At 37.4% G+C, this 16,109-nt stretch overlaps 1 long non-coding RNA gene across 1 annotated transcript in view; it reads right to left on the bottom strand.

The window, feature by feature from the left end:
• LINC01340 (long intergenic non-protein coding RNA 1340) overlaps positions 1 to 16,109 on the bottom strand; it is a 166,356-nt gene that overhangs the window by 520 nt on the left and 149,727 nt on the right. Inside the window, exon 3 of the long non-coding RNA NR_105028.1 lies at positions 1,870 to 1,981. This is a non-coding gene — a long non-coding RNA (long intergenic non-protein coding RNA 1340). The remainder of the gene's footprint in view (positions 1 to 1,869; positions 1,982 to 16,109) is intronic.

Genomic DNA, 16,109 nt, shown 5'->3' with positions numbered 1-16,109 from the left:
AGTTAAAAATTATGAGAAAGAAAACAAAAAAGTCTTATATATGACCATCATAAAGTGTAACATTAAATCCAAGGAAATTAGAATTCAGCATGATAAAAATAACAGGCTACTGAGCCTAAAGAAATACCAAGTTGAAAAACCCCAGACTTCAGGGATCTCTTCTATTTTCTTCTCTCTTTTCATTGGGATGATTTTATCCATTCTCAGGGCTTTATGAATCTACATGCAAAGGATTCCCAAATTTAAATTTCAAAGCTGATCCCCTTTTCCTGTACTCTAGACTTGTTTATTATTCTGCTTTCTTAGTATCTTTATTTGTTTTCATAATAAGAATCTTAGAATTCATATGGTCAAAACAACTTGATTCCTCAACCTTTTCAATACTCTTTCTTACTAAATTTCTCAGTTTCAGTTATTTTACATCCACCTAGGTGATTAAGCAAAACCCAAGAGTCATTCTTGATTCCTCTCTTGTAATGAAATCAATTATGGTTGGGCAAGGTGGCTCACACCTGTAATCCCAACACTTCAGGAGGCTGAGATGGAAGGACAACTTACTTGGGCCAGGAGTTTGAGACCAACCTGGACAACACAGCAAGAGCCCATCTCTACAAAAAAAATAAAAAAATTAACCGGGCATGGTGGCACATGCCTGTAGTTCCAACTACTCTGGAGGCTGAAGCAGGGGGATTGCTTGTGCCCAGGAGTTTGAGGCTACAATTAACTATGATTGTGTCACTGCCCTCCAGCCTGGGCAACAAAATGAGATCCTGTCTCTAAAAAAGAAAAAAAGAAAAGAAAACTAGATCTCAAAGCTAACATTACGTTTTTATCACACTTTCTCCCGTTACTCTCCTGGACTGCTGCAACAGAATCTTTCTCCTAGACTCCTTCAATATCCTCTAATTAAAACCCATTTTCTACCACTGCCCCTCTATAGCCTAGTATCCACATAAAAATTATATTGATACTTTCCACTAGAAAGTAAGTTTCCCAATCTTGTCCACCAAGGGATAATTATACCAACTAGCAAGTAACGCTTGGTAATATAGAAGCCAAACTCCATTATTGACCTGTAACAGTAAAACTACTGAATGTAATGGTGTAGAATGCGAGAATGTAATTCACTTACAATAAAGGTAATATGGAAAGGTACGAGGTGCGTTTGTTTCTCTCCTTCCTCAATCCTCAGTGGCTCTGCCTAAAATCAAGTTCTCCTTTTTCTGCATGTGGCCTCCTCTTCTCAATAACTATCATTATGTCATTTTCTTCTGGCCCACTAGCTGCTAATTATTACCCGTGGAAGTCAAACCAAGCTGTTGTAGGGGATCTGAATGGCCCCATAGTGCAGCAAGTTTGGAGATTTTCTGTGCTCATTCACTTGGGCCAGGTCTGTGTCTAGTGCTCTCTGCTTCCCTCGACCTCTCCTTTACCTCCAGTTCTCCTTTTCTGAGGACTATAACCTGCATAAATATGTCATAGACTCCACAACAAACATCTCTGAGAAAATGGAATCCTAAGCAGCAGTATTTAAAAGAGTCAATGAAAGTGTATGTCAGTGATTTAAGTCTTGTGAAGTGTGGTTTCAGGTGGAAGAACACTGAAAACACATAAGTGAATACAGAGAATGTCTCTAGCTCATGGTTCTCAAATTTTAGTATACTTCAGAATCATCTTACTAAGACACACATTGCTAGGCCACACCCCAAGGGATTTTAATTCAGTAGTTCTAGAGTAGTCAGAAGTTTTGCATTTCTAACAAGTTCCTAGGTTGTGCTGGTGATTCTCAGAAATCTCACTGTGAGAACTACAGTTCTAGGCTCCACACTGGAAAGTGGTTGCAAGTGAAAGGAATTGTGTTGTCTTTACCTGAACTTGTTCTTATCCATAAGAGACTTCCTGCAGGGAGTTTAATCTGTATTATATTTGTAGCCCCTCTGCACCACAGGAAATTGATGGCCAACAGAAGCAACTCCAGACTCTGAAACGACAGAAATTAAAAGATGGGTAACACTGCAAAAAGGAGAACTTGTGTGTTTGCCCCTAAAGGTAGTATATCAAATTCACAGAGTAACCTACTTTAGTAAATTTGGCAGTGATTCTTGGTCCTTATATCCAAGGATCATCAGTCAACTAATATGGGATTGGTCTGTGTATCAGTATTTTTAAATCTCACGGGTATTTTTAATGCATGTCATGATTGAGAACCACTATAGTCTACTGTGGTTTGATTTCCTATCTCTGCTAGACTTCCTTCTTTTTGGCCACATTAGTGTATCAAGTTAGTTATATGTATTTCATCTGAAATATAGAAGTCTCAGTCTAAGAAAGTGATTCTCAACCAATTGTGCTTTTTGCCCCCAGGAAGATATTTGGCAGTGTCTATATATATTTTTGATAAGCAGAACTCGGAAGTTCTACTGAAATCTAGTGGGGGGAGGCCGAGGAATGCTGCTGAACTCAATACAATGCATAAGAGAGTTCCCCACGACCAAGAGTTATCAAATCTGGACTATCCATAGTGCTAAAGTGGAAAAACCCTGGTCTAAGTGTGGGGCATGTTGTTCCCATGTTTCACCGAGAAGGGTTTGTTTTTAACAATACGTAAAGCATCAGCAAATTCTGATGGAAAAAAATCCTGGATCTTTTGATTTATGGTCATGAGAGAGGGAAGAGAAGAAATTGAGATCGAGCCAAATGAAAGTTTGATAAATTAAAGCAAACCAATTAAAAATTTAAAAATATTACCCTTCTCATGATTATGCCTACAATCAAGATCTGAGTGTGGAACATCAGTAACATTTTTAATGTTTCACTTAATCCTGGTTTTCTGCAATTTTTAAACCTCATTTAAAAATTCTATTTGATAAAGCAACTGTAGTGTTTAATGGGAAGGCATTATTGGTTATAAAACCATGTTGTATACTCTCTTAGGAGACTGGAAAAGCTTGACATAGTTTCAAAAGTTCAAAATGGTTTACAATATATTTATGGCACACTGTTTGGGATTAAGAATGTCATTTCTCAATCATTTGGTTAAGTTGATATGTAAAGACCTAGTATGAAAAACAGAAACCTTATTTGGGTTTTATTTTATTGATGTCATTGATTCTTCCATCACTGTTTCTCGTCAAGCTGTTCCTGCTAATTACTGCTGGCGCAAAACCACATTCTACATTTTCTCTCAAGATTGGATTGTTTTTTCTGAAGCGAATAAAGAAGGAAGGATCTAGCCAAAGTAATAATGCATTTTATTAACTTTCTGTTTGTTTTTTTAATTACCATTGACACTGGAAGCATTTTGTTATTCCTATTGTTTTTACATCAATAAAATTAAATTAAATGAGAAAATAAAGCCAAGATATGTAATTCATTAAATCTAGGAGCTGATTTCAGATGAACAATAGGGAAACAGTTGACATCATTTTCACCAAATTAGGCTGGGAAGGAAATGCTTTCCATGCAAATAATATCAAACGCAATAAATATGAGAATGTGGAGCATTAGGTTCCCTGCATACACATACTTTCTGTTGTCTACTTGAAAAGAATGAGTCATGACAATATGGTTGTAAAATAAGCAGATATTTCCAAAAAGCAAATAGTTGGGGAACTGGGAGGAGAGAGGAAACGAAGAACTAATATTTACTGAGTAGCTTCTAAGCACCCAGAAAAATGAAAGGTACACTTGACATACACAATCTCACTTGTGGCAAAACAATGGCATGGATACTGTCAACAAGACAAAAAATAGATTAAAAAAATATCAATTAGAAACTTCCAAGTATGCCTTGGTGCTGATAAGTCATTGACAAGGCAACATATCTGATTGTTGTAAGATTTTTACAGTTCACAAATTCCAAAACTCATCCTATCTCATCTCATAATTACCACATGGGCTGAGCAAGAAAGACACTATTATTCAAATTCTAGGGTTGAGAAGCTTAAGACCCATTAGCATTGAGCAACTATCTCAGGATCAACCAGCTAGTAAGTTGCAGAATCTGGAGACAGAATGCATCTTCTTTCTACCACACCGTGCTGCCTTTGCAGATACTGTTATGGCCTGAATTAATACTGCTATATTTTGCAATTTTTCTACATTTTGCTATGGAAAGAGTTCCAGGATGATTATGTAAATCTACCTCTCAATAACTCTTTCTAGGCTAGACCCAGGAAATAACTAGCTATTAAATATACTGCCCATTGAAATAATTTGGCAGAGATTAATCATATTTATTTATGCTAGAGTTTGACTTGACATGGATTTACCTGAGTTACAGGAGATTTTACCCCATCTCCTGCATGCACTTCTTCCCATTTCTCTATACCATTCCTCTCTTCTCAGGTTCAGGCCCCTGCTTTTTCCTTCTTGTCCTGTTCTCCTCCTTTACCCTATTTTTCTTTTCTCAGTATTATGTAGTAAGGATGAAAGTGTGAATTGGTATAATATTTTTATTTGGGGAAGTAGAACTTTACTAGCATGTGTCAAGAGTTTTAAAATGGTCACATTCCTAGATGCAGAAATCCACTTCATATAATGTATCCTAAGGGAGCGATTATAACTGGATGTAAAGACAAGACTCTTGTGTCAGTTTTCATGGAATCTCAAAGGCAGCAGGTACCAACCATTCCCTCAATACACAGAGAGGGGCTGGGCCACCCAAGTGGGATTGACAAAAGAGGAATGGGAGAATTGCTTTTATAACCCATACCTATAAAATAGGTTAGGAAGTCTGTGAGCAGAAATGAAGCTTGGCACACGTATGTTTATAGCGGCACTATTCACAATAGCAAAGACTTGGAACCAACCCAAATGTCCAACAACGATAGACTGGATTAAGAAAATGTGGCACATATACACCATGGAATACTATGCAGCCATAAAAAATGATGAATTCATGTCCTTTGTAGGGACATGGATGAAACTGGAAACCATCATTCTCAGCAAACTATCGCAAGGACAAAAAACGAAACACTGCATGTTCTCACTCATAGGTGGGAATTGAACAATGAGAACACATGGACACAGGAAGAGGAACATCACACACCAGGGACTGTTGTGGGGTGGGGGGAAGGGGGGAGGGATAGCATTAGGAGATACATGCTAAACACGAGTTAATGGGTGCAGCACACCAACATGGCACATGTATACATATGTAACAAACCTGCATGTTGTGCACATGTACCCTAAAACTTAAAGTATAATAATAATAAAATTTTTAAAAAAGGATATTTTCAATGGCTGTGGCCTTCTGCCTCCCTGATGCCATGGTGGAAGAGAGGGTGGGCATCAAAGCACCCATGTGGTAAGCTTGAGGTTGGGAGCTCAGGCAGAGCACTGTTTTCTAACTCAGCCTACAATAAGCCTACAATAATATGTCTAGAGAGAGGAACAGCGTAGGAACCAACCAGCTCCTTTTTCTTCCCATTTGCCTTGAACCACCTGCAAACTAATGCATAATTTCTGATTATTAGACTATAATAGACACACTCATTAATTTATCATGATTAGTCTCTTATTTGTCAGATACAATAAATAACTGGGGGCTTTTTGTTTTCCAAGAGTGGGGAAATTATCTATCTATATTAGCTGCCCTAGGTTTCAACTGGTTGTAATTTAAATTTTCTTCACTATCCTCGCCTGTGTTTTCTACATTTTCTACATAAATCCTTGCATTATAAATGGAAGAAATAGAAATAAATTATTAAGAAAATGATCAGCATCTCAAACAAGTAAATAAAAAACTGGAGAAAAGGATTTAGTTATGTGTTCCACAATTTTTTCTTTCAAAAATCTTTTTATCAGCTTTATTGCTTACATAAATATATAAAACAAACACTCATCAAATTTGCTAATTACATATAGGTAAAAAGGATTGTGAAGCAAATAATTATCACATCAAATCTGAGGTCAATGTTATTACTGACATTTTATAGATGAGAAAACTGTATTTCAATAAGCCACGTGTGTCCAACTGATAGCCACTAAGTAGCAGGGTTGAAATTCCAAATCTTTTCTGTTGGCTTGGAGTTTGTTTTAAGGAGAATTTACACATGAGGTGAAGAACAGAACTCACTGACATTGAAGATCCCTTACAAATCTGACATGTTAATATTTCATTTTATTAAATTGAAAACAAAAACAAGCAAACTCATTTCTGTAAAGGAAATAAAGCACAGTTGAAAAGGAGTTGCTAAGCTTGCTATATTGACATAGTTTGCTTAATTCTTTCAAAGAACCCAAATGTAAGTCTCTACAGGACAGAAATTGCTGTGAAAGTAAGTAAATAACATATAAGAAATAAAATAAAGACTATGAAATAAAAAGATACATTGTCCAAAACGAAAAGAATGACAGAAGTTTTGTCAATTGTGTGTGTGTGAAATTTAATCATGTGTTGATAACAGCAGCCATGTTATGTCTCTAACTTGATGTACATGTACTATTTCCCAGCTTCATGAAAGACACAGCTTTTTGATAAACCTTTTATTGAACAGGAGCATTTTAATTGCACACAATTAACTTGAAAATGTGAAGTTAAATGGCAATCTCTAATATATTCACAGTACCTCTAAAGACCACCCCAAGGGCAAATTTTAGTTTGAATGCAAATCCTCTGTTTTCCAGGCCACATAAATTAAATTGGAACCACACATCTTTTAAGTAACAACCCCTTACATCGCTATGATAGGCTCAGAATATCATGGTCTCCTAGAAAGAATATATTCATAGGGAAGAGAAATGCAAAATTCATACCTAAGAAAAAATATGCAGATAAATATTTTCTCCTATTGAATAACGCAGTTAGGTTGAAGGGTTAGCACCCTTCTCTGCAAGAAGCAACACTTTGTTAGGAAGTTGTTACTATCCCAAAATAAAGTGAGATGCCAGATGTGTAAGTCTAGCATGTGGGTTCGACAGAACAGTCACAGAATTATTTGCAAAATGCTGCATAAGATTAGTAAATGTATTTTTTCAACACATATATACTATTGACAGAGGTATGAGTAGAGTTAATACATACTTTCCTAACTTGGGACTCTAAATCAAAGTTTTATAAAAGACTTCCATAGAGATCATGGAAGGTTGGAGATGTATAGTTTCTTCATTTTATAATGGTAACACAGTTCAATGCCTATTTACTACCCCACTAATGAGAATGTAATGGGTTAAGCTGAGATCATGTTTTGAACATGGTTTTAAGCTACTCTTCCCTAATTTAGTAGTATTAGGGGTAAGCTATTAAACAGCAGCTTCTTCCATCCAGAAGTTCTCCTATTAGCAGAGTATCCGTTACATACTTGTAAGCTATAAATAACAGAAGACCTAATGCAAAGTTACTCAAACACTAAGGAAATAATGTACTGGACCATTTAACTCAAAGTCCACAAGTAGGGTTGCTCAGGTTTACCATAATCCAAAAGTCTATGTCCAATTTCTCTGTGATACTTGGCTGTACTATCCTCTTGATTTGGTTCATCCTTGGGGTTACTGATGACAGTGGAAGTTCTAGCTCTGACCAGCATTCATCTTTGTTTCCAGGGGCACAAAGGGTGTCTTGCCCAAGGATATTCTCTTCAGTCCATTGCATTTTCCCTCAAAAAGTCCCTAGTTCACTTTTTCTCATTGACCTGAATTTGGTCATATGTCCGTTTGTAAATTAAATGCTGTTTCTAGTGGCATGTCATCAACAATTTGCTTAGTCCTGGGTTCCTAAAGTAATCTCTGTTTCTAAAGTGCCTAAGATTAGCGTTAACATTAAATGAAGCAAGTCCATCCCTAGTGTTCAGAATGGATTCACATATACTGTCTTGGGGAATGTGTAGACACAAGAAGGGAAATCACAGAACTGTAAGAAAGAGGAAAGAAAAATGGGGTGGACAACAAAAAATGCCCTTATAGCTCATTATTCTCCCTAACCAAAAGAAAGAGCTGAATAATGTGGAGAATATTCTCTATCCCATTTTAAAGAAAGCATTTAAGGCTTTTATTCTAAAATTATTTTTGCTTCTGGAGCATGGAGTGTACACTGTTAAATAGCATGGTTTGGCATAATCCTGCTCAGTCTTCCTGAAAAACAAGAAAATATGCATAACATGCTATGTTTAATGTGAAAAGTAAGGCCAGACTGAAAAATTGCCTTAGAATCCAAGGTAGGCCATGCATTAGTTTTGGACCAATGGTTCAAAGGTAGGCTACAATTTAACAATGCAGATTTTAGGTTGCATAATCTTTCATTAAAATAGCAAATAAGTCATGTTTTCCTGATCAAGGAGCCAAATTTCAAATGGGTGAGAGTTAATTTAAATACTGTATGGCAATGTGTGTGCAAGTAGTAGAAAAGGAAGATTCTAATACAAAAAGAATTTGATTCTGTTTGCTAGGGAGAGAGGTCAAAAAGTATAAAACAAAGTAAAACAAAGGCTAAAAATGTTGAAATCTCTTTTCTAACATCCATTTCATAGCACCATAAAGATAGACATATAGTCTTCTCTATCTACAAAGTCCTTTCAAGAGAGCCCAAGCTAGGCTGGGCACGGTGGCTCACGCCTGTAATCCTAGCACTTTGGGAGGCTGAGGTGGGTGGATTGCTTGAGCTCAGGAGTTCGAGACCAGCCTGGGCAACATGGTGAAACCCTGTCTCTACTAAAATACAAAAAATTAGCTGGGCGTGATGGTACACACCTGTAATCCCAGCTACTAGGGAGGCTGAGACAGGAGAATCACTTGAACCTGGGAGGTGGAGGTTGCAGTGAGCTGAGATCATGCCACTGCACTCCAGCCTGGGTGACAGAGCGAGACTTCGTCTCGAAAAAAAAAGAAAGAAAGAAAGAAAAAAAAGAGAGAGAGCCCAAGCTGCATTTATACAACCCAGCCCTAAGGGTAACGTGTTACAAATGTGGCATTTAAAAAATGGCTTGAAATGCTTTATTTCATTTTATTGTATTAACATGGTTAAACAAACCAACCTAAAATGCATATTTAAAAACTTCCTTTTAAATATACCTTTCAGCAAATAAGTTAGCAGACAGGAGGAAATATTCAAGAAACTAACATTCTCATCAGAGTGAAGGAATAGTAGGGAAATCCTGGTTGCAATCCAGCATGAACAAAATGGTTGGGTTTTCCATCTACCTCCTGCTGGCCTAAAACATTAACCAGAACCACTGCACCTGTTAGATTCTCAGTTGTCCACTGCTTCCTTACTGTACTTTATACAGTAGAGGCATTTCTGGAAATAATTCAGAAAAGTAACATGTAAATTAAACCATATTTTCTTATTGATGACCATGGTGTATTTTGAAATGTGTTCATTTAGGAAAACAAAATGTTTGGCTGCATTAAATAGTAAGAACTATAAACAATAAATCAAAGTACTTTCCAAAATAGCACATTAAAGAAAATATAGGCCAGGTGTAGTGGCTCATGCCTGTAATCCCAGCATTTTGGGATGCCAAGATGGGAGGATTGCTTGAGACTAGGAGTTCAAGACCATCCTGGGTAACATAGCAAAACCCCCATCTACACACACACACACACACACACACACACACTCACACACACACACATCAAATAACCAAGTGTGATAATGTGCTTCTGTAGTCCCAGCTACTCAGGAGGCTGAGGTAGGAGAATCGCTTGAGCCCAGGAGTTCAAGGCTGCAGTGAGCTATGATTGTGCCACTGCACTCCAGCCTAGGCAACAGAGCAAACCCTGTCTCTAAAAAAAATTAAGAAAATATAATAATTTTACATATTTAAATACAAATATTTTAAATAGTACTTTAAATATTAAGCAAATGTTATTCTAAGCCATAATGTATTAAACCGAAAATACATTATCTGATTAGGAGATCCATAATACAAAAATATCTTTATGCCTTTGTTTGGTCTACAGCTATCAGAAAGGAAATGCTATTCATAATAATTATGAAACTCAGAATGTTAAGTACATATTATATTTTCAATTTATTTTTTCTGTAAATAAACTTAAGCTATGCTTTGAAGCCCCAGATAAAAGAAAGTGAATCTTTGTAAGTTCAAGGTCAGCCTATCTCTTTTTTCCTAGGAGACTGAATCTAAGATTTGAGAAGCTTACTACGTAGTGTGAAGGCCTTTGAGAAGAGGCGTCTACTCCTTCTAATCCACCTCTGCTGCATCTGAGATTACCTTGTTCCCATCAGGGTGTTTGCCCTTAACTTGTGTCTCTCCTAGGGCCTCCTCCTCAACCCTTCTCAAGGTTCCCCAGCTCTCAGTGGCAAATCTGCAACATTCTCAGCTGTGTGAAAACATTCTTCACTCTCTGAACTGCAAGGAAAAAACTGCATGGCTTCCTCAGGTCCATCAATCTACCAACCCATTATAAACAATACGTTTTTGAAAATAACTTTTTTATGTGGTTAATTATATATAACATAAAACTTACTATTTTAATCATGTTTAAGTGTATAATTTAGTGGCATTAAGTACATTCACATTGTTGTACAACCATCACCACCATCCAACTGCAGAATTTTGTCATCATTCCAAATTAAAACTCTATCCATTAAACAATAACTCCCCATTACCTCCTTCTCCAAGCGCTTGGTGACCATTATTCTACTTTCTGTCTACATCAAAAACAATTCTTATGCTATCTCATTGCATTAGTGGGTTACTGTAAATCCTGGTTTACCAGGGATGGTCCTGATTGACATCTATTGTCCAGACATTTCATCAGATTTAACACTTGCTCAGACCATTTTCACCCTCAAAATGCCCTTGTGTTTTTTGTTTGTTTGTTTGTTTGTTTGTTTTGTTTTGTTTGTTTGTTTTGAGATGCAGTCTCGCTCTGTTGCCCAGGCCGGAGTGCAGTGGCACGATCTTGGCTCACTGCAAGCTCCGCCTCCCGGGTTCATGCCATTCTCCTGCCTCAGCCTCCCTAGTAGCTGGGACTACAGGCGCCCGCTACCACACCCGGCTAATTTTTTGTATTTTTAGTAGAGACGGGGTTTCACTGTGTTAGCCAGGATGGTCTTGATCTCCTGACCTCATGATCCGCCCGTCTCGGCCTCCCAAAGTGCTGGAAAATGCCCTCGTTTTAATGATTAAATGATACAGTCATCCTACTAGAGCACTGTTGGTTGTATTTGGTTAGTAAGTTCCGCCCAAGTAAGGAAGCTATGGAACCTTTCTGGTCTCAGGTGTCCAAACTTCTCTAGGGTTTTTATCTCCCCAAAGAAGATACTGATGAGAAGTGTGGAGGAGACAGGGGTTTGTGGATCCTCTCAGATTAAATATTTTCTTTTACTTTCTTGTCCCTTCCCCAGTCCAAAGAGTCTTTATTTAATGAAGATTGTGAGCCTGGCTCGCTATCATTTTCAGTAGATAGCTTAGGCTTTTAAAATTCAAATATTTATTTCTGCCATGAGCCAAAAAACACGTAATGTGCCATGAGCCACAAAACACAAAAAACATATTCTGAAACTCAAAATAAAAAATTGACTCTTTTCTTCCCACAGTACTACCTGTGTCTTAAGGCAATCATTGCCAGAGTCTAGCTACCCAAATGCGGAAATGACCATAAGGTAATGAGAAACACTAGCAAAAGTTAATGTGATCTGTATTTCAAAATATTGACCAACACACTTAAAAGCATATTCTTGCAACTGTTTTCTGGAGAAATTAAACCTGTGTGTCACGTTTCTTCATTGTGTATGGACTGTTGGTGACCGTCATTACCTATTGAGTATTCTCTATTGAGAATAATGAAGTTTCTGTCAGGCAGTTAACACAGGCAACTGCTGCTGACAAACTATGTCAGGGTCATGCCACGCTTGGTGCAACTCAGGGGCAGATTGCCAACTCTTAAAAAACTATGTCAGGAGGCAAGATTTGGCAGAATCAGAAACATTGCAATTAGAATCTAACTATCAGTCCAAGTTGAGGGTACAGTCTAAAGTAAGATTGCTAAATTAAAGTGAGGAAGCAGGCTCAAGAGAGTTGAGGAATTACAAACTAGAATAAAGTGGAAATGGAGAATATAATTTGAATGGATGGAAATTCAGTTGAAAGAGGTAGTTAGGGGGTTATAGTAAAGGATGAGGGCCTGGAGAGGAAGGAGGGGACAGAAAGTAGGTAACAAAAATTCTACTGTGTATTCTCCAAAGTAGAAACTGATAAATCTAGAGTAATAAATCTTACTGATGTCATTGCCACTTCCAGTGGTAGTTTTTCCTGTTATTGCAGAATGAGTCAGAGAAACTATAAGTACCAAATTGTACCTGGTTATTTCTCTGACTTATTGGACCTGACTATGAGGTCAGCCCCTGTTCGACTCTTCAATTTCACCCACCACTCATATACACACACAATTCCAGACTATTAAAAAATAAATATTATAAAACAATTATTCCTATAAGTTGCTTTTTTCTTGTTTTCTTTATTTGTTTGTTTGTTTATATTTCCACTGAATGTTTTACTTTTAATTTGTGACTCCATCACCTTACATTAAAGTGCTTGGCTTATAATACCCATGTTTCTGTTCTCTGTTATATTAAAAAAGAATCTCCCAGAAATGCAAATTAGTCCATTAAATTCACATTTAGTTGATATTCTATTCCAGAAATCCAAAGGGCAGAAGTATACATCTTGAATTAGAAAATTGCTTAGCTGTCTGTATGAAGGTACTTACAGAAAATCATTAGAAACATTATGAATAGGTTGACCCTTCAATAAGAGAAAAAAGACCCGCAAGCCCTACCTCACTTAGTCTTATTCTGTATTGTTTGGATTTGTGCTAGCATCCTGTTTTTCTAAGCCTACAACTATATACCCAATAACTTGCAAATCTGACTTTGAAAATGCTTTGTACATTCTACCATGTAAATTGTGCAAAATAGTGTTTTCTCCAACCACACTATTTGCCCACTGACACAAACTGAACACTGTTAAACATGCTTTATATCATGCCTGGTTTCCCTTTCCAGGAAAGGTCTCAGCTCTGTGTGGGTAGGGCAGATTTTAAGTAAGAACATTAGGTATTTATGTCTCAGCTTCCTTCCTTTCAATATTAAGTGCTGAGTTGCCCTTCACTGACAGCCAAATGCTGAAATCATAGCCATGTTCCACACATTGGAGAGACACATTCATACAGGATGATGAATTTTTTCTCAAGATGGTATCTCCTATACACAGTTACATAAGTGATAGAGATGAGACTGAGAAAAAGAAATATAAAAAACCATTTATAATCGAAATCCTTTGACACTCTTTCACCTTAACAAAACAAAACAAAAATGTGAATATTCTTTGTATTTTCTTGTTGTTGTTTGTTTGTTTGTTTGTTTTTGAGACAGGATGTTGCTCTGTCACCTAGGCTGGAGTGCAGTGGCACAATAATGGCTCACTGAAACCTAGAACTCCTGGGTTCAAGTGATCCTCCTGCCTCAGCCTCCGGAATAGACTGGACTACAGGCATGTACCATTATGCCCAGCTGTGTGTGTGTGTGTGTGTGTGTGTGTGTGTGTGTGTGTGTGTGTGTGTTGGGGGGGTGTAGAAATGGGGACTTACTAGATTGTCCAAGCTGATCTTGAACTCCTGGCCTCACATAATCTCCTGCCTTGGCCTCCCAAAATGCAGGGATTACAGGTGTGAGCCACTGCACCTGATTTTATTCTTTGTATTTCTAAGTGTGCAAGTTTGATTTCCAGATTGATAATTCTTGAATTAATTTTTCCTCTTTCCATTTAAAAATATTGGAAGAAAAAGATCCATTGGGAATGGCTAGAAAATTATATCTTGGTAGAGACATAATTATGGCACTTATTGAAACTTAAATTTTTCCACTATAACATAAAATGAGTGTCATTAGGAACATTAAAGTGCTGAAAGATGTGCACAAATCCTAGGACACTAAGGATTACTTGGAAATGACAAAAATAAAAGACTAGAAGAATTTAGTAGAATAATTCTGCCACTGATGTCTTCCATTAGAAAAAAACACACCTGACTAAAATCACACTCCTGGGCCCTGTATTATCTGCTCCCAGTTGCACATTCCACATTTTGGTGATAAAGGAAAAGACTAGCCTGGCTGCTTTCCTCTCTGCCTCTGAAACATGCCATGCACATGGTACCCTCTTCCTTCTGTGCATGTTTTATTAAGACCTAGAATGCTGTCTCTCCTCTTCTAGCCAGCCTACCAACCTTGTGGGATGCAAATTCAGTCCTCTTCTGCTAGGCCTTTCTTGGCTCCATCAGCCCACAATATTCCTCCTTCCTCTGAATATGCTCACTGTTCAATACTGAAAAAATGCAGAAATTATAAAAAATTTAAGTCGCTCATGATTCCACTACTTAGAGATACTGAGTAAAATACAGAGTAAAAGTGCTACAGATAAAAAGAATGCAGTAGGTAAGGGGGATACAGAGCACAGGGGTAGGAGGATGAGCGTATATTGCATTGTCAGATGGAGTGATGGGAAAGGACTTTTGAAGGAGGGGCTTAGAAAAGGACCCAAAGGACTTAATCCTGGAGTGAAACAAAGTCCCTGATAGAGACAACATGACTGGCACATACACAGAATAGAAAAAAAAAAAAATCAGTGTGGCTACAGAAAAGAATCAAGGAAGAGAGAATGGATTAACATAAGAAAGATAAATGGTGGAGATGAGGAGTAAATAGTGCACAGCCTCATAGACAGTTTTTAGGACTTCAACTTTTGTCTGACTAGGAAATGACTGGATAGTACTGAGCAGAAAAGTGACAGGATCTGACAACTCTGTCTCACATTTCAACTGGGCCACATTGACTGCTGAAGTGAGCAAGGGCAAAAGGAGGGACACCAGTTAGGAAGTTATTGCAATATTCCAGGTAAGCGGTTATGGAGGCCTTGATCAGGATGATGGGAGTGGAGGTGGTGAGAAGTAGCTTGTCTTAGTCTGTTCGGGCTGCTATAATAAAAATACTACAAACTAGGTAGCTTATAAATAACAGAAACTTATTTTCACAGTTGTGGAGACTGCGAACTCCAAGTTCACGGCATTGATAGATTCAGTGTCAGGTGAGGGCTCATTTCCTAGACAGCCGTCTTTTGGATACAACCTCACGTGGCAGAAGGGACAAGGCATCTCTCTCAGGTCTCATTTATAAGGGCACTCATCTCATTCATAAGAACTCCACTCATGGCCTAATTACTTCCCAAAGGCTCCACCTCCTAATGTCATCACCTTGATGGTTAACATTTCAACATAAGAATTTGTGAGGGACATAAACATTCCAAATATAGCATAGCTTTATCCTGGATATATTTTGAAGAAAGAGCTAATGATTTATTGGATATGGGATGTAAGAAGAAGAGAACCACCAAGGTTGATCTTCAAGATTTGGGGCATGGAAAAATAAAATGAAGTTGCCATCAACCTAGGTGGAAAGACCACGGAAGAAACACTTTCTTGGGGGAGAGGGATTAGGAGATAGTTTGGGACAAGTCAAATTTGAGATGATTTTTATATATCAAAAAGTGGGATCCATTGTCCCAAACCTCATTGAAAAGTGGAGCTGGACTGGTTCTGAAAAAGAGGAGGATTTAGGGGGACAAAAGAGATAAATAAGACAATATTTACATTTAGAAGGGATATGAGCAAGACAAAGATCTTTCTCTCTCTTTAAAAATAAAAAGTATTGTGTACATTTGGGGTATACAACATGATGCTATGGGATACATATATACTAAAAAGGTTACTATAGTGAATAAAACTAACATCCGTTGTACCACAGCTACCTATTTTTGTGTGGCAAGAGCAGCTAAAATCTACTCATTTAGCATCAATCTCATATACAGCACAATTTTATTCTATAGTTCTGTTAATTTGTATCCTCTGACACACATCTCTCCATTACCCTTCTCCTTAACCACTGTTTTGTTCTCCTTCTCTGTAAATTTGGATTACTTTTTATATTCCACATATAAATTAGATTATTAAATATTTTTGTGTGTGTGTCTGGCCTATTTCATAAAGCAAAATGTCCTTCAGGCTCATCCATGTTGTGACAAATGGCAAAATCTCCTTCTTTTTTGGTCTTGTTAAATGTATTAAGACTTGCCTTGTGGCCTAACATATGC

The sequence above is a fragment of the Homo sapiens genome, chromosome 5 (assembly GCF_000001405.40).
Source record: "Homo sapiens chromosome 5, GRCh38.p14 Primary Assembly".
Lineage (NCBI taxonomy): Eukaryota > Metazoa > Chordata > Mammalia > Primates > Hominidae > Homo > Homo sapiens.
This window is presented reverse-complemented; position numbering and strand designations above follow the sequence as displayed.